Here is a 17,919-nt window from a genome sequence, read left to right on the forward strand (position 1 = left end):
TAGATTTAAAATCCAGACCAAAAGCACACTCCAAGAAATAATTTTACAATAAATTTATAGTTCAAAACTAGAAGTTGACTGTTCAAGACAACTTCTAAATGAGTTAGAAATGAAATGACCTTATTTCTGATTCCCAAAGGCAACACTTCCTACAGAAAGCCTTTCCATTCTGCTTTCTAGACCAAGAGAGACAGCATGTACTAGTAAAAGGTAACAAGTATGTAGCTGACTTAGGCTCTAATCTCTAGCTTTGCGACAAACTAGTTGAGTGACTTTAGGACACTGAGACCAGAGAAATTAGCCATAAATAAAGGGACTGGATCAGATCATCTAAGATCTCTTCCAATTAAATTCTATGAACTACCAGCATTTTTTGGGGGGTGGAGGGGCAGGGGAGCGGGGGGACGTATTCTCGCTCTGTTGTCCAGGCGGGAGTGAAGTGGCATGATCTCAGCTCACTGTAACCTCCACCTCCCGGGTTCGAGCAATTCTCCTGCCTCAGCCTCCCAAGTAGCTGGGACTACAGGCGCCCACCACCACGCCCGGCTAATTTTTGTATTTTTAGTAGAGACGGGGTTTCACCATGTTGGCCAGGCTGGTCTCAAACTCCTGGCCTCAAGTGATCTGCCAGCCTGGGCCTGCCAATGTGCTGGGATTACAAGCGTGAGCCACCGTGCCCAGCCATACTACCATTTTTAAAAACACAAATTAGAAGTTGATTCAGACAACATGTAAGTGAATAAAGAATTCTTAAGATTTGTAAAAATATTTTCTCTTATTTACAGAGTAAAATTTGGGTAACAGATTTTGATGCTAAGGGGTAAAAAATACACTGGTATAAGTATGTCCTAGTGGTATAACTATGTTCTAATGAACTTAATGTAACTATGTCCTAGTGACCTTATAATGATAATAAAGGAAGATGAAGCCAATTTTACCCCTGCTTAAATCCATTTCAACATTAAATGTGCCAAAATGAAAACCAAAGTCTGATTAACCTGTTATAAAAATGGCCCTATCACATTACCTAATGTAAACAACGAGTTAATGGGTGCAGCACACCAACATGGCACATGTATACATATGTAACAAACCTGCACATTGTGCACATGTACCCTAGAACTTAAAGTATAATAATAAAAGACCCTATCACATTCATCTACAATATAAGTAATATCTAAATTCTTTTTTTTTTTTTTTGAGACAGAGTATCACTCTGTCACCCAGGCTGAAGTGCAATGGTGCAATATCAGCTCACTGCAACCTCCATCTCCCAGGTTCAAGCGATTCTCCTACCTCAGCTTCCGGAGTAACTGGGATTACAGGTGCGTGCCACCACACCCCAGCTAATTTGTATTTTTAGTAGAGACGGGGTTTCACCATGTTGGCCAGGCTGGTCTTGAACTCCTGACCTCGGGTGATCTGCCCGCCTCAGCCTCTCAAAGTGCTGTGATTACAGATGTGAACCACTGTGTCCGGCCTAAATTCTTAAAATGATTCAGTTGAGGCAGAAGTACAAGTAGGGAGGAATGTGTTTGCTTGTGAAAAAAAATCCACACTAGAACAAGAGGCTATACCTCCTTGTAGGGTGACAGTGAAGAACAAATTAAATGCTTGTAAGTATGAATCTCTCAAAACCTGAATATTCTGCAGTGTTTGCTAAAGCCCTCATAAATGAAAGATCAACATCTAATAACCTCATTGAATCTATCATTGTTCTTAGGATATCATATCTGGCCGCCTGGGTTTATCTTATCACAGATTTTTGTATCGATTCAATCAAGTATTGATTTAAGCAAGGACACTTTCTTAATATTTAAATCAAAGCATGACTTAGCACATAAAAGCAATGCTAGTAAGTTAAAAAAGAGCTGAAATTATCTCACTTATCTAATTTACATTCCTATGCAAGTAAGTCTATCTTTTATCAGTTAGTCCAAAACAGAAGCGAAGGCTACAGGCAATTCTGATTCCTTCTACCCTCTTAACAACCCTTTCTACTCTGTACCCTACCAAGAATAACTTTAAGTTCTTTTTGGAGACTCAAGCCTTTTATTCCTTTGTCCTGTAAAACCCTGTTCCCCACTTCGTACTCGGATACAGGTTTATTCCTTCCCAACTACTAGTCAGTGTGATCAGCCCACATCAAGCCCTCATTCATGAGCATAATAATAAAAACCAACTGTTATACAAGTGTTTTATTTTTTGAGCATGGAACATTATCAAAAAAATCAGAAAACATAATTCTAAAAAATACATAAAAAGGAGCTACATTAAAGTTTGGCATCTTTAGTAACAAGATATAAAACAAAGGGGGGTGGCAAAAAACAACTGGATCTTTAAATGGTCCAACAAAGCTGTCTCTTGAAAGCATCAGATTTTTAAGTTAACCAAAATTAACCTTTAAGTTCAAATATGATTAAGCCAAGTCAGAATTGAAACTGAGACGCTGATTAAGAAACACACACACACACGCACACACACAAAACTATGGTACCTGCCAGTTATCACCGGAGGTCCAACTGGACCTCAGATTGTCATTTAAAAACAAGGTAAGGCCTGGCGCTGTGGCTCATGCCTGTAATCACAGTACTTTGGGAGGCTGAGGTGGGCGAATCACCTGAGGCCAGGAGTTTGAGACCAGCCTGGCCAACATGGTAAAATCCCGTCTCTACTAAAAATACAGAAACTAGCTGGATGTGGTGGCATATGCCTATAATCCCAGATACTCTGGAGGCTGAGGCAGGAGACTCGCTTGAACCCAGGAGGCGGATGTTGCAGTGAGCCGAGATCGTGCCATTGCACTACAGCCTGGACAACAAGAGCGGAACTCAGTCTCAAAAAAAAAAAAAAAAAAAAAAAGTAAATCCAAAAATACTGACAAAGAAAAGAATTGAAGAAATCCAAGACAAATCATGACTATATCATTTTAAATTATACAAAAGCATGTAGGTAATCCAAGTTTTCTTTTAATAGGTTTTATATGTGCTTGTATGAATACTGTATGAATAATTATTTTCCTTGCTCCTCTACTGATAGGAATTTTTTTTTACCCAAAAATCATGTATTACTTTTATGAAAAGAGAAAAAAAATTGTCCAAGCAGATTTTTTTTAATTAAAATGTTGGGCTGTTTACATTTCCTGATGTATCTTTTTGAAGACGACTGCTTGAGGGCTTTAAATATATAATATTTTACATACTCATTTTACTTTTTTAAAAAGGGAAGTGTTTACAAAATCATGCAACCATTTCTAGGTCACCCCAGAATTCAAGGGGAAAAAATAATGCGCCCATAATGACTTTTAAGTATCCACAAATTATTTTCTAAATATAAATTACAAGACAACAGTTTAATGGCTCACAGCAACACAGAATGTATCTTATGCAGTTGTATCAAAAATAACAATGCTGTATAAATGCAAATTAAGAGTTTTTGAAAAAGGTATTTATAAGCTTTAATGCACGAATTAAACATATACAGTCATCACTTAAAACTTATAGTTCTTTACTCAAAAACATATTGGTCCAACAATTTTGAGCCACTTCAGTCATTTCTTATGTATTTCCTTAATGTTGCAATATTTGGCAATGAAATTTCTCCACAAAATGAAAACTATTACCAATTTTCAACTAGCCAAGATAAGACTAATCTGTATAGCCCAGCAATGGTCTCCCTCCCCTCCGTGTCCAGAAACAAGCAACTGTATTTAAAGATGTACTGGAATACTTGTTCTCCTTAACTAGACCTGCACTTTGACCAAAGTGTTACTATAGCAGGAAAACTACCTCAGAAATCTTTGCTGGCCAGGCAGTCACTCACACCTGTAATCCTAGCACTTTGGGAGGCTGAGGCAGGCGGATCGCTTGAGCCCAGGAGTTTGAAACCAGCCTGGTCAACATAGCGAGATCCATCTTTAAAGAAGAAAAAGTAAATTAGCTGGGAAGCTGTGCATGGTGGCTCACACCTGTAATCCCAGCATGTTGGGAGGCTGAGGCAGGTGGATGACCTGAGCTCAGGAGTTTGTGACCAGCCTGGACAACATGGCAAAACCCTGTCACTACAAAAAATACAAAAATTAGCCAGGTGTGAGTGGGGCACAGTGGCTCACACCTGTAATCCCAGCACTTTGGGAAGCCAAGGCGGGTGGATCACCTGAAGTCAGGAGTCAGAGACCAGCCTGACCAACATGGAGAAAGCCCGTCTCTACTCACACCTGTAATCCCAGCATGTTGGGAGGCTGAGGCAGGTGGATGACCTGAGCTCAGGAGTTTGTGACCAGCCTGGACAACATGGCAAAACCCTGTCACTACAAAAAATACAAAAATTAGCCAGGTGTGAGTGAGGCACAGTGGCTCACACCTGTAATCCCAGCACTTTGGGAAGCCAAGGCAGGTGGATCACCTGAAGTCAGGAATTAGAGACCAGCCTGACCAACATGGAGAAAGCCCGTCTCTACTAAAAATACAAAATTAGCTGGGTGTAGTGGCACATGCCTGTAATCCCAGCTACTCGGGAGGCTGAGGCAGGAGAATTGCTTGAACCTGAGAGGCGGAGGTCGCAGTGAGCTGAGATCGCGCCATTACACTCCAACCTGGGCAACAGGAGCAAAACTCCGTCTCAAAAAAAAAAAAAAATTAGCCGGTTGTGATGGCACATGCCTGTAGTCCCAGCTACTGGGTGAGGCTGAGATGGGAGGATCACTTGACCCCAGGAGGTCAAGGCTGCAGTGAGCTGTGATCGCACCACTGTGCTTCAGCCTGGGCAACAGAATTGAGACCCTGTCTCAAAACAAACAAAAATTAGGCAGGGTGGTGCCCATCTATATTCCCAGCTACGTGGGAGGCTGAGGCAGGAGGATCCCTTGAGCCCAGGGGATCAAGGCTGCAGCGAGCCATGATCACACCACTGCAATTCAGCGTAAGCAACAGAGCAAGATCCTGTCTCAAACAAACAAGGCCGGGCCCCGTGGCTCACACCTGTAATCCCAGCACTTTGGGAGGCTGAAGTGGGTGGATCACGAGGTCAGCAGTTCGCGACCAGCCTGGCCAACGTGGTGAAACCCAGTCTCTACTAAAAATACAAAAATTAGCTAGGCGTGGTGGCTGGCGCCTGTAAACCCAGCTACTTGGGAGGCTGAGGCAGGAGAATCGCTTGAACCCGGGAGGTGGAGGTTACAGTGAGCCCATACCGCGCCACGGCACTCCAGCCTGGGCAACAAAGCGAGACTCCGTCTCAAAAAAACAAACAAAAAACCCAAAAAAACAAACCTTTGCCCATAATTATGGCAGCAAGAAATACTTACATTTTAAATTTAAAAAGTTAGATCCAGCCGGGCACGGTGGCTCACACCTGAAATCCCAGCACTTTAGGAGGCCGAGGAGGGTGGATCATGAGGCCAGGAGTTTGAAACCAGCCTGGCCAACATGGTGAAACCCCATCTCTACTAAAAATACAAAAATTAGCCAGGCATGGTGGCGGGCGCCTGTAATCCCAGCTACTCGGGAGGCTGAGGCAGGAGAATTGCTTGAACCCGGGAGGTGGAGGCGCAGTGAGTCGAGATCATGCCACTGCACTCCAGCCTGGGCAACAGACCAAGACTCTGTCTCAATAAATAAATAAATAAATAAATAAATAAATAAATAAATAAATAAAACAAAAAACAAAAAAAGAACATCTATAAAAAACCTACAGCTAGTATCATAATTAGTGATGAAAAATTGAGGCCGGGTGCAGTGGCTCACACCTGTAATCCCAGCACTTTGGGAGGCTGAGGTGGATGGATCATGAGGTCAGGAGTTTGAGACCAGCCTGGCCAAGATGGTGAAACCCTGTCTCTACTAAAAAATACAAAAATTAGCCGGGCGCAGTGGCGGGTGCCTGTAATCCCAGCTACTTGGGAGGCTGAGGCAGGAGAATCGCTTGAACCCGGGAGGCGGAGTCTGTAGTGAGCCGAGATTGCGCCACTGCACTCTAGCCTAGGCAACAAAGCAAGACTCCGTCTCAAAAAAAGAAAAAAGTTAGATCCAATGATCTCAACTTTGAGGGAGAAAAAAATATTGCAGAAAGGAGTAAGACTGGAAAGACAAAAGAGTATTTTCAGATGGATAAAAAGATTTTTCATGTTTTCCTTTATCTTTCAAATTATCTACAAGTTTGAAATATACCTTCATAATTATAAGTGTGTGTGTGTACATATATATACATTTGTTTTTTGAGACAGGGTCTCGATCTGTCACCCAGCCTGGAGTGCAGTGGTGCAAACATGGCTCACTGTAGCCTCAAACTCCTGGGCTCCAGCAATCCTCCCACCTCAGCCTCCCTAGTAGCTGGGTCTACAGGGGCACGCCACCATGCCCAGCTAATTTTTAAAATTTTTTTGTAGAGATGAGGTCTTGCCATGGTATGGTGCCCAGGCTGCGTAATAGTTTAAAATAATAATTTAAAATTGAATATTTACTGCATTCTAAGCATAGTAGGTGATTCTATACATTTTTGGACTTTAATTCTCACAATAACCTTTCATTTTTCAGATGAGACATTTAATGTCCAGAAATGTCCCCCACAGTCACAGAAACAGAAGAACAGATATTTAAAAACCTGAGTCTTGCAGAAAAATTAGAACCCTCATATATTGCTAGTGGGGATGTAAACGAGGATGTAAAATGGAAATGTTTGTCAGGTCCTCAAAATGTTCAAGACGGTTACCATGACACAATTCCGCTCCTAAGTATTTATCAGAGAATTTAAAACACATGCCCACACAAAAACTTGTTCATGAATGTTGAAGAGCTAGAAAGTGAAAACAACCTAATTTTTATCATCTGATGAATGGATAAATAAAATGTGGTTTATCCATACAATGTAATTACTATTTGGCCATCAAAAGAAATGAGGTGCTTATGTGAATTTAATGAAAAGGAAAAAAAAAAGAATGAAGTACTAATATACGCTATAATATGAATGAACTTTTTTCTTCTCTTTTCTTTTCTTTTTTTTTTTTTGAGACAGAGTCTCACTCTGTCACCTAGGCTGGAGTGCAATGGCACGATCTCAGCTCACTGCAACCTCCACCTCCCGGGTTCAAGGGATTCTCGTGCCTCGGCCTCCTGAGTTGCTGGGACTACAGGTATCTGCCACCACACCCGGCTAATTTTTGTATTTTGAGTATAGATGGGGTTTCACTATGTTGTCCAGGCTGGTCTCGAACTCCTGACCTCGTGATCTGCCCGCCTCAGCCTCCCAAAGTGCTGGGATTACAGGCGTGAGCCACCGCGCCCGGCCATTATGAATGAACTTTGACAACATCATGCCAAGTGAAAAAAGCCAGACAAAGAGGCCATAAATCATGATTCCATTAAATGAAGTGTCCGGAATAGATTAACCCATAGAAACAGAAAACAGATTACGGGCTGGGAAGAAAGGGGAATGGGAATTATTACTAATGGGTATCAGGTTTCTTTGAGGGATGATGAAAAATTCTGGAATTAGACAATGGTGATGGTTACACAACTTTGAATACATATACTAAAACCCACGGAACTGTACACTTTAACAGGGTAAACTTTATGGTCTATGTATTATATCTTGATTTTTTTATTAAAAAATTTTCTAAAAAGCCAAAACCAAAAAACCTAGTTCTGATGCCAGAGACCTCAAATACTATTTACATGCTGCCATCCTGCCTTTAGGTTTTTCTGGTGGACATACTGTATCTTAATATTTTGGCCAGGCACGGTGACTCATGCCTGTAATCGCAGCACTTTGGGAGAATGAGGCAGGTGGATCACCTGAGGTCAGGAGTTTGAGACCAGCTTGACCAATATGGTGAAACCCTCTCTACTACAAATATGAAAATTAGCCGGGCATGGTGGGAGGGGGCCTGTAATCCCAGCTACTGGAGAGACTGAGGCAGAAGGATTGCTTGAACCCAGGAGGCGGAGGTTGCAGTGACCTGAGATTGCACCACTGTACTCGAGCCTGGGTGACACAGTGAGACTCCATCTCAAATATTTTTTATCAAATTCATCAGATGCTTGACCAACCAAACTGAAACTCAGGCCACCAGTTATACGGAAAAATGTGAACTTAGGTTCTGCTTCTACACACGGATGAGAAACATCTACATTTTTATCAGTTAATTAGCAGCAAATTATCAAAGTTTCCGACAGCCTATTGCACTACTATAATAATGCAAAAGGGTGCATCTAAGGATGGCTGTACCTATCAGCCAGTGGCATGAAACAGGATTTTTGCCTTTTCTGTTTCCTATATTCACATAATCAGAAGAGCCTGTTTTTTTAAAGGCTGGCAGTTATATGTTCAACCAATAACCTGAGAAAATGCTTGTAATAAGCTAAATCAAAAAGAGAGGACACAAAACTAAACATCACAACTACAATTTTAGAGGAACAAAAACTTCCTCTTAAAAGGCTGAGCGTGTACCAGGTGTGGTGGCTTACACCTGTCATCCTAGCACTTTGGGAGGTCGAGGCAGGAGGACCTCTTGAGCCCAGGAGTTTGAGATCAGCTGGGCAACAGAGCAAGACCCCCATTCTCTACAAAATAATTTAAAAATTAGCCGGGCATAGTGGCGCCTGTAGTCCTAGCTACTCCAGAGCCTAAGGCAGGAGGGATTGCTTGAATCCAGGAGTTCAAGGCTACAGTGAGCTATGATCATGCCACCTGTATGTGCCCCAGAGTATGGGTGACAGAGCAAAACCCTGTCTCAAAAAATAAAAATAAAAATAAGGCTGAGAGTAAATATGACAGAATAGTGGAATTACAGATAGGTAATTATCACTTTATTCTTTTACCTGTTTTCTAAATGTAACAGAAGGAACACATACTACTTTTAGAATCAAGAGGAAAAACATAAAAAAATTACATAAATAGATGGATTTACAAAATATGCTAAGAAACAAATATAAAACACCACTCTTTAGCTTGGTAATATTTTTTAAAGTGACAAATATAGGATCCTTTCTCCTGAACATCTCTAGACCCCCAAAACCACAGTCACATTCAAGACAATACAGAACTACACTGGCATACTACACTACACTGATATCAGCAAACTTTTTAAAAGTAACACTTTTTCAGCTTTTCAACAGGCAAGAACTGGAAAGTTCAAAGTAAAGAGATCAGAATTAGTAATTCCTCTGCAGAACACATTAGTATTTTTGGATATATACATAATTTAAGGATTCACTTAACAACATTACATCTTATCATGGATCAAGATACAGAAACCAGACTTAAAATAGGACAATGCAGCCAGGCTCAGTGGCTCGCCCTGTAACCCTAGCACTTTTCGAGGCCGAGGTGGGCGGGATCGCTTCAGCCCAAGAACAGGCAAGATAGTGAGACCTTCTTGCTACAAAAAATGTCAAAAATTAGCCAGGCAGGTCTAATGGCATGTCCTTGTTGTCTCAGCTACTCAAAAGGAAAAAAAACATAATTATTTAAAAAATATATACAAAATACAGAAGCTGGCTGGGTGTGATGGCTCATGCTTGTAATCCTAGCACTTTGGGAGGCCAAGGCAGGTGGATCACCTGAGGTCAGGAGTTCGAGACTAGCCTGGCCAACATGGTGAAACCCCGTCTCTACTAAAAATACAAACATTAGCTGGGCTTGGTGGCGGGCGCTTGTAATCCCAGCTACTGAGGAGGCAGAGGTTGCAGTGAGCCTAGATCATGCCATTGCACTCTGGCCTGGGAGACAAGAGTGAAACTCCATCTCAAAAAAAATAAACAAAATAAAATACAGACGCTATTGCTTTATTTTTATTTTTTTCAAATAGATACGGGGTCTTGCTATGTTGACCAGGCTGGCCTCAATGTGATCCTCCCAACCTGGCCTCCCAAAGTGCTGGGATAATAGGCGTGAGCCACCACACCTGGCCAGAAGCTATTGCTTCCTAACTCGAGCAGTATGGGCAATATCATCACTTGCATAACTTACCCTTATAACTAGTACATAATTTCTGTCAATCAATAGTTCAGATGATGTTAAATTTGATACACTGTGTTGGTTTTTTAATTACAGTTAACTACAAGCTAACTTCCAATATCTTTTAAAGTTACTTGAACTTTTGAAGAACAGCAGGTGTACGAATTAAATTTAAAACTTCTCCATAGTAGTTTGGCAAACCTGACACATCAGCTAACTGCTATCTCCTTTATACTTTAAAATGGTAAAGTCTGAATAAAACACTGACTCAGGAGGGCATGAATCTTATCTAAGCTTTATAAAGAAAAACGAAGCACACTAATGTAAAACATTAATAATTCCAACAGTTGAATGGGGCAGACACTTTAAAAGTGATCTATTATTTTTGCTGTCAGTCACTCATAAAGCCAGACAGAAAAATGTAAGAATTATCAAACTTCCAAACCACCTTTTTCCCTGTTCATGCACATATCTCCCTCGTACGTTGATACTTCCTTTGATGAGTTACCATAAATGTCGATCTTGTGACTGAAGTGTTTTTTAGTCAAGGAAAACTGATTATCCCAAAATTAAAGTGCAAAACGATAGCATGCCTGAGTAATAAAACATTAAAAACAAGTAACTCCTAAATCCTCCACACAAATGCAGAAACTTAAATATTTTTTCTCTCCCATTTTCTTCGAATCATTTTTTGGGGTGGAGGGAAATGCCTCCCAATATAGTAAATATATGAAAATGCTGGTAGCATACTTCTATATTCCTTGCCCCTCTGATACTTTCATCAATCACAAAAGACTAAGGAATTGAAAAATAGCAATTCATTTACAATAAATCTTAAGTAAAAAGACCAATATACTATGTGTTCTGGAACATAACCATATATTGTTAAATCTCTTTAACGAACAGACTGGAAATTCATTTATCACAGTCCGAAGTCCTCCCATTAACTTCCGATCCTTTTTCAGACTGCCAACTTTCAGCCACTGAAAACTTAAATATGCTTGCCCTCCTAAAATAATTCTGTCCTCTTGACAAAGGAAATCTAAGAAACTTTGAAAGAAAAAATACTTTATGAATGACTCATAAACAATTGATTCACAAAGTGTAAGTACGCTAAGAGGAAAATAAACATGAGCCAATGTATATACTGTTACTCTTTATATACCTTGAAATATTACAGAAGCTTGTGTTTGCAAGTTTTGATGGTAGTACAGCTCTAAAATAAAACCTCCGGCCGGGCGCGGTGGCTCACGCCTGTAATCCCAGCACTCTGGGAAGCCTGGGTGGGTGGATCACCTGAGGTGAGGAGTTCGAGACCAGACTGGCCAACGTGGTGAAACCCCCGTCTCTACTAATAATACAAAAAATTAGCCAGGCGTGGTGTTGCATGCCTGTAATCCCAGCTACTCGGGAGGCTGAGGCAGGAGAATCTCTTGAACCCGGGAGGTGGAGGTTGCAGTGAGCCGAGATTGCGCCACTGCACTCCAGCCTGGGTGACAAGAGCAAAACTCCGTCTGCAAAAAAAAAAAAGGAAGAGAAAAATAAAACCTCCTCCGGTAGAAAACAAGCTAATGAACCAACAAGTTTCAACGTTCAAAGTTAGAGGGGCTTCTTTCAGCGTTATTCTAGTCCATGGAGCTCAGCTGTGATGTAGACTGCTTACAGTAACCGGGAGCGGTTGCTTACTTCAGCCAACTGACAGCCCTTCTCCCTCAGCTGAGCAAAAACACGCCCCCTAAAAAGTAGTTTTTAAAAAGTCAACTTTCTAAAAAGAAATTTTAAAAAAATTGTAGTTACTATTTAACAAGACTACCATAAAATTCAGCGTCATGATGTTCAGTTACTTGAAAATTTATCAGGTATTTTTTAAAAATTCGTTTCTAAAATTTTTTTGCATTAGACCTTAGACCGCCTAAAAATAAGCTTAAAAACCTAGGAGAATAAACCAAACACATTTAAAGTTTTTGAAAATAGTCAAAGAAATAGAAGATAAGCTCAGTTTTCGGAGAATGAGATTAACAAGGAGCGAAAAACTTGAAACGGAATCCAGCGCAAGGCCAAGTTTAGCAAAGTGAGCGCTGAAGGACTCCAGACTCTTCGGAAACCTTGGGTGCTCCCTGGCCACCGCAACTTCCTGCCCCGGGCGGCTCCAGGCTCCGGGTGGCCGCTGGCTTACATACCAATGGAGTATGCAGGGACTGTACACGAAACGCAGAAGGGGAGGGAAAAGGCTGGAGTTGCTCTGCCTCCCTCCTGACCGCTGTCCACACCCGGGCAAGAAGGTATGCAGATCGCACCCCCAGAAAGGGCCTCGCCAAGTGTTTGCTTCCCAGAGTTGGCTTTCCCCACATCTCTGCCCAATGTTGTCCAGCTTTCAATAAGATCAAGGAGAAAAAGCCGAGTCCAGAAAGAAATCTTGCCCGAAGCCCTGTCCCTGTCTCGTCTGGCGACAGATCGGGGGCGGGGGGGATCGCTCACCCTCCGCTCCATTGTTCCCCCTTAAGAATTCCTTCCGACCCCCGACCCGGCGCCCCTCCCCCACCACAGCGGGCGGAGGAAAAAAACAGGCCCAGAGGCCACCCCAATTGTGGAGACCCTGCCTTTCCCAGGTCCCGCCTGACTCGCAGCCCCTCACTCACCCATCAAAATGCGCATCTGCTTCTTGCCAAATAGTCGGGAGAAGAGGGAGGAGATAGTGAGGCCCATGGCGGTAGTGGCACTTGTGATGGGCAGAAGCAGAAGGGGTTTGGGGCGACCCCGTGCTTTCTCCTTTCAAGCTCCCAGGCAAACTAAACGAGAGGGAAGAGAAAGAGCGGAGGAAGAAAGAGGGAGGCAGAAACGTCTCAGTGGCCCCTGTGCCGATGAAGATCCGGCACAGGAATAAGCCGGTAGAGGACCTGCTAGGCGACTGGCGCGGCAGCTCCGGCTCTAGCCTTTAGGCTCTGGCTGTGCCACGTCACGCGGCGGCCGCGGCGACTCCAGCAGCGGCCCGGCCCCTCCAACGCGGACAGAATCGCGTCACCGCCGCCCCATCCCCCTGCGCTTCCGGTGCGCCCGAGCCACTGCGCTTGCGCCTGCAGGGGATTGGCCAGTTTCGCTGACGAGCATCTCTCGACGGCGCCACCGCCCGGACGTGGCCCCAGGAGCCGGGAGAGGCCGGCTGAGGCACATGCGTACTGGGAGACGGACAAAGTCCCACAATACCTCGCTTCGTCACTGCCAAATCAGACTCAGGGTGAGACGCTTCCGCCCGGATGAAGGTATTGTCGGGGTGATAGTCCTTGCTTCCGGAAAGGCGAGCTGAGCATTATGGGTTAGGTGAGGAACCTCGCCCTCTTCTATTACGGTACGCGCGATGGGTATTCCCTGATGCCATGAACTTACACGTTTCACACACGGGACCAGACGCTTGCTTTAGTTGACGCATGAAGACCGGTCCGGTCTTTTGCGGAGAAAAGTGGTTAAAAGCTGACTTGTGGGCCGAGAAACTGTGGCACCCTAATGAGCTAGGGCTAGACGCTTCGACCACCACGCCAAGTGATTCTGAAGATCTCTAATTCTGTCAAGGCGAGAGCGCTCCAACACGTGTTCATCGGCTGTTGCTTTTTAAAGAGAAGGCAAGGAGGAAGTCTTGCTTTTCTTGTACTTTTTTTCCTAGAAGCAGCATTAAAGATTTACTCCTTATGTTGAGGAAGCGGAAAGCCTCTTCACTTTAAAAGTGTTTATGATCGGGCCTGGCGCGGTGACTCACCGCGCCCGGCCTGCTACACCTTTTAAAATTCACAGCAATGATAAATGTATTAGACTCATTGCCAGGATAAAGATTTAATCTATTTTTCTAGTAGTGCCGTCCTATGTGGTTCTGTAGTTGCTTATTCCAACTGGTATATTTCCATAGGATGGGGTTGAATAAGAAAAACTTGCAAACTTTCAGAAACAGTAAGTTATTTTTATATTTTTGAAGGCTTGCTGAGTAACGCTTCTCTTGGTAGCACTACCTTATCTACCCTTCAGAGACTGTTATTTCTTAGGAGTGGCCCTGGGCAATTAAAAGCAAAAACTTCTGGCCGGGCATAGTGGCTCATGCCTGTAATCCCAGCACTTTGGGAGGCCGAGGCGGGCAGATTACGAGGTCAGGAGATCGAGACCATCCTGGCTAACACGGTGAAACCCAGTCTCTACTAAAAATAGAATAAATTAACCGGGCGTGGTGGCGGGTGCCTATACTCCCAGCTACTCCGGAGGCTGAGGCAGAAGAATGGCGTGAACCCGGGAGGCGGAGGTTGCAGTGAGCGGAGATCGCGCCCCTGCACTCCAGCCTGGGCGACAGAGCGAGACTGTCTTAAAAAAACAAACAACAACAACAAAAAAACCCCAAAAACTTCTTTACTCAGAAGTACCCTCCTTTGCATTGGAGATACATGTAAAGAGTTGCTTAGCAGTTGAATAACTCAAAATTGCATTTTGGAAGCTTGCTAAGTGACAAGACCTTCTTGTATCCTTTTGTGAACCCCCAAAATATGAGACAGGCCTCAGTTAATTTAGAAAGTTAATTTTGCCAAAGTTGAGGACACGCGTCCATGACATAGCCTCAGGAGGTCTTGTAGACATGTGCCCAAGGTGATCAGAGCACGGTTTGGTTTTATACATTCTAGGGAGAAATGAGACATCAATCAATATATGTAAGATGAACATTGGTTCATTCTGGAAAGACTGGACAACTCAAAGCAAAGGCAGGAAGACTCTGAGTGGGGAGGGAGCTTCCAGGGCATAGATAGATAAGAGACAAATGGTTGCATTCCTTTGAGTTTCTGATTAGCCTCTCCAAAGGAGGCAGTCAGATATGCGTTTATCTCAGTGAGCAGAGGGGTGACTTTTTAAAGAATGGGAGGCAGGTTGGCCCTAAGCAGTTCCCAGCTTGACTTTTCTCTTTAGCTTAGTGAGGTGGAGGCCCCAAGATTTATTTTCCTTTCACACTTTAGGCCTTATGTCTGTTTTTAGTTTTATATAGTAGAATTCCTTAAAACAATCTTCAACTAATTCTTAGGGTCTTCTTAAATTCAAAAGACAAACCGTATGAGCCCTCCTCCCTGTAACTTATTCCAAATCTTAATCCATGTTTTCTGTTTAGTTATGCAAAATAAATCGAAAGAATTCTGTTCTCCATCTCTAGCCTCCAAAACCTGAACCAAAACAAAAGTTGTCAAAACAGATTTTTCAGTAAGAATACACTACACATCAAGTGGCTAATGTAAATTACAAAACAGGATGTTAATGGCAGACTGTAATATCTCTATTGTACAGATAAAAATAATCAGGGTCAGAGAGATTAAATATTCTGCCCAAGGTCACACAGCTAAAAGCAGTGGAACAGCTATAAGAACCCATTTCTTCTGGTATTAACTGGTATTTACACTCTTTTTTTTTTTTTTTTTTTAATAAATAAGTGGATTCTGGCTATGTTGCCCAGGCCTGTCTGGAACTCCTGGGCCCAAGCAATCCTTCCACCTCAGCCTCCAAAGTGTTGGGATTACAGGTGTGAGCCAGTGCACCCAGCCATTAACACTCTTAACCACTACACTATACTACCTTCTTACATTTATTTATTTATTTATTTGAGACAGGGTCTCACTTTGTCACCCAAGCTGAAGTACAGTGGCATCATCTCGGCTTACTCAACCTCCTGGGATCAAGTGATCCTCCCACCTCAGCCCCCAAAGTAGCTGGGACTACAGGTACACCACCACATTGGCTAAGTAGTGTTATTTTTTGTAGAGACAGGGTTTTGCTATGTTGCCAAGGCTGGTCTCAAACTCCTGAGCTCAACCAATCTGTCTGCCTTGGCCTCCCAAAGTACTGGGATTATGGGCCTGAGCCACTGTTCCCGGCCAAATTCTTTTCTTTTCTCTTTTCTTTTTCTTTCTTTCCTTTCTTTTCTTTCTTTCTCTTTCTTTTCTTTCCTTCATCCTTCCCTCCCCTTCCTTTCCTTTCCCTTTTCCCCTCCCTTCCCCCTTCTGTTCCCTTTTCCCTTCCCTTTTCCCTCCTCTCCCTTCCCCTCCCCTCCCTTTTTCCTCCTGCCTCAGCCTCCCAAGTAGCTGGGACCACAGACATATTCCACCATGCCCAGCTATTTTATGTATTTTTGGTAGAGTTGGCGTTTTGTAGAGACCAGCATGTTGCCCAAGCTGGTATCCAGCTGCTGAGCTCAGGCGATCTACTCGCCTTGGCCTCCCAAAGTGTTGGTAGTAGAGGTGTGAGCCACCGTGCCCAGACCCCAAATTTATTTTTATTTTATTTTATTTTTCTAGGTCAGGCATGGTGGCTCACACCTGTAATCCCAGCATGTTGGGAGGCCAAGATGGGAGACTCACTTGAGCCCAGAAGTTCCAGACCAGCCTTGGCAATATAGTGAGATGCCATTTCTATTTTAAAAAATATTTTAAAAATAAAATATTTTTCTATTCACCTTTCATCAATACAAACCCAGAAGAGAATCTTTCTTATTTTTAAAAATGAGGAAATTGAGCCCTACAAGAAAAATTGCTATAGTTTATTGATCACTTGCTAAGCCATGTACTTCATTTAATCATCGCTTTTGAACACAGTGTTGTATAAAGTTGCCCAGGCTCAAAAGCATGTACTCATAACATACTACACTAGGTAGTATGTTTTCCTCATCTCTGGTTATTTTATTTTATTTTTTTTTGCTCTGTCACCTAGGCTGGAGTGCAGTGGGGCGATCTTGGCTCACTGTAGCCTCTGCCTCCTGGGTTCCAGCGATTCTCCTGTATCAGCCTCCGGGGTAGCTGGAATTACAGGCACATGCCACTGCGCCCGGCTAATTTTTGTATTTTTAGCAGAGAGGGGGTTTCACCATGTTGGCCAGGCTGGTCTCGAACTCCTGACCTAGGTGGTCCACCCACCTCGGCCTCCCAAAATGCTGGGATTACAGGTGTGAGCCACCGCGCCCAGCCTCTGACTATTTTTCTTAGTGAGATCTTTTTAGTCACAAATATGTATATGGAATTTACATTCCAGTCCCTTGGGTTTAATAATGTACAGACAGCAGACCCCCTGTATCTTCAGGTTTCAAACCCACAGATTCAGCCAATAGCAGATGTGGAACCTGCAGATGCAGAATGGCAACTGTAAGGGCCTTGAGCATCTGCAGATTTTGGTATCACGGGGATCCTGGAACCAATCTCCCCAAATACCCAGGTACAACTATAATTATTTTTGCTGATTGTTATGTCTCATTAGAATGCAAGCTTATTAAGGAAACCATATCTCTTCCTTTTTTCTTTCCTTCTTTTTTTTTTTTTTTTTTTTTGAGACAGTCTCGCTGTGTCACCCAGGCTGGAGTGCAGTGGCGCTATCTCAGCTCACTGCAATCTCTGCCTCCTGGGTTCAGGTGATTCTCCTGCCTCAGCTGCCCAAGTAGCTGGGACTACAGGTGCACACCACCACACCCGGCTAATTTTTTTTTTTTTTTGTATTTTTAGTAGAGATGGGGTTTCACTGTGTTGACCAGGCTGGTCTTGAATGCCTGACCTCAAGTGATCTGCCCACCTCGGCCTCCCAGAGTGCTGGGATTACAGGTGTGAGCCACCATGCATGGCCTGCCTTTGAATTTTTTAAAACATTTGAGCAGATATATTCTATAAATAGCGGTACTATTTAATAGCAATAAGTGGTTACTGAGCACTTACAATATGCCATTGTACTTAATGTGCATTATCCCATTTAATCCTCTCAACAGTTTAATCCATGCCACTCACCTTGTTCTCTGCGAGACTGATTCAATTCTGTTGTAGTCCCCTTATTCATTACATGACAGTATAATTTTTGCCATTTCCTCCTAACCTTTGTAAACTCTACTTTGATCTCATCTGACTGTAATTCACCACTGCTCTTGTTTAAAGTTCACATTCTCTAAACACTTATTTATCTGCACAGTACAAGAAT

At 43.0% G+C, this 17,919-nt stretch overlaps 2 protein-coding genes and 1 long non-coding RNA gene across 4 annotated transcripts in view, besides 10 other annotated features; 2 read left to right on the forward strand and 1 right to left on the reverse strand.

Moving 5' to 3' along the window:
• Window positions 1-12,864, reverse strand: part of ARF4 (ARF GTPase 4) — a 25,982-nt gene extending 13,118 nt beyond the window's left edge. The window contains exon 1 of the mRNA NM_001660.4: window positions 12,594-12,864. Coding sequence (NP_001651.1) covers window positions 12,594-12,660 — 67 coding nt within the window. The 5' untranslated portion in view covers window positions 12,661-12,864. The remainder of the gene's footprint in view (window positions 1-12,593) is intronic.
• Window positions 1-17,919, forward strand: part of PDE12 (phosphodiesterase 12) — a 100,222-nt gene that overhangs the window by 28,207 nt on the left and 54,096 nt on the right. The gene's annotated exons all lie outside the window — the stretch shown is intronic.
• Window positions 12,268-12,317: an enhancer, noted in NCBI's record as "active region_19989". NCBI's record gives its function as "activates an Ori minimal core promoter by ATAC-STARR-seq in GM12878 lymphoblastoid cells {active_cell/tissue: GM12878}" and the evidence as "EXISTENCE:reporter gene assay evidence [ECO:0000049][PMID:35858748]".
• Window positions 12,338-12,487: an enhancer, noted in NCBI's record as "active region_19990". NCBI's record gives its function as "activates an Ori minimal core promoter by ATAC-STARR-seq in GM12878 lymphoblastoid cells {active_cell/tissue: GM12878}" and the evidence as "EXISTENCE:reporter gene assay evidence [ECO:0000049][PMID:35858748]".
• Window positions 12,338-13,887: a biological region, named in NCBI's record as "MED14-independent group 3 enhancer GRCh37_chr3:57582608-57583807".
• Window positions 12,401-13,600: an enhancer, noted in NCBI's record as "MED14-independent group 3 enhancer chr3:57582608-57583807 (GRCh37/hg19 assembly coordinates)". NCBI's record gives its function as "activates an origin of replication core promoter dependent on BRD2, BRD4, P300/CBP and CDK7 cofactors, and independent of MED14, by STARR-seq in HCT116 cells {active_cell/tissue: HCT116}" and the evidence as "EXISTENCE:reporter gene assay evidence [ECO:0000049][PMID:35650434]".
• Window positions 12,476-13,181: an enhancer, noted in NCBI's record as "NANOG-H3K27ac-H3K4me1 hESC enhancer chr3:57582683-57583388 (GRCh37/hg19 assembly coordinates)". NCBI's record gives its function as "activates a minimal SCP1, AML or CMV promoter by ChIP-STARR-seq in primed H9 embryonic stem cells {active_cell/tissue: H9 hESC(primed)}" and the evidence as "EXISTENCE:reporter gene assay evidence [ECO:0000049][PMID:30033119]".
• Window positions 12,518-12,567: an enhancer, noted in NCBI's record as "active region_19991". NCBI's record gives its function as "activates an Ori minimal core promoter by ATAC-STARR-seq in GM12878 lymphoblastoid cells {active_cell/tissue: GM12878}" and the evidence as "EXISTENCE:reporter gene assay evidence [ECO:0000049][PMID:35858748]".
• Window positions 12,758-12,827: an enhancer, noted in NCBI's record as "active region_19992". NCBI's record gives its function as "activates an Ori minimal core promoter by ATAC-STARR-seq in GM12878 lymphoblastoid cells {active_cell/tissue: GM12878}" and the evidence as "EXISTENCE:reporter gene assay evidence [ECO:0000049][PMID:35858748]".
• Window positions 12,838-13,087: an enhancer, noted in NCBI's record as "active region_19993". NCBI's record gives its function as "activates an Ori minimal core promoter by ATAC-STARR-seq in GM12878 lymphoblastoid cells {active_cell/tissue: GM12878}" and the evidence as "EXISTENCE:reporter gene assay evidence [ECO:0000049][PMID:35858748]".
• Window positions 13,108-13,667: an enhancer, noted in NCBI's record as "active region_19994". NCBI's record gives its function as "activates an Ori minimal core promoter by ATAC-STARR-seq in GM12878 lymphoblastoid cells {active_cell/tissue: GM12878}" and the evidence as "EXISTENCE:reporter gene assay evidence [ECO:0000049][PMID:35858748]".
• Window positions 13,182-13,887: an enhancer, noted in NCBI's record as "H3K27ac hESC enhancer chr3:57583389-57584094 (GRCh37/hg19 assembly coordinates)". NCBI's record gives its function as "activates a minimal SCP1, AML or CMV promoter by ChIP-STARR-seq in primed H9 embryonic stem cells {active_cell/tissue: H9 hESC(primed)}" and the evidence as "EXISTENCE:reporter gene assay evidence [ECO:0000049][PMID:30033119]".
• On the forward strand, window positions 13,309-16,436 carry ARF4-AS1 (ARF4 antisense RNA 1). Of its 2 annotated transcripts, NR_132369.1 has the most exons (3): window positions 13,309-13,571; window positions 15,579-15,689; window positions 16,263-16,436. It is a non-coding gene; the product is annotated as an ARF4 antisense RNA 1 (long non-coding RNA). The 2 variants fall into 2 exon arrangements; NR_132370.1 differs by lacking the exon at window positions 15,579-15,689.

The sequence above is a fragment of the Homo sapiens genome, chromosome 3 (genome assembly GCF_000001405.40).
Source record: "Homo sapiens chromosome 3, GRCh38.p14 Primary Assembly".
NCBI classification, from domain to species: domain Eukaryota; kingdom Metazoa; phylum Chordata; class Mammalia; order Primates; family Hominidae; genus Homo; species Homo sapiens.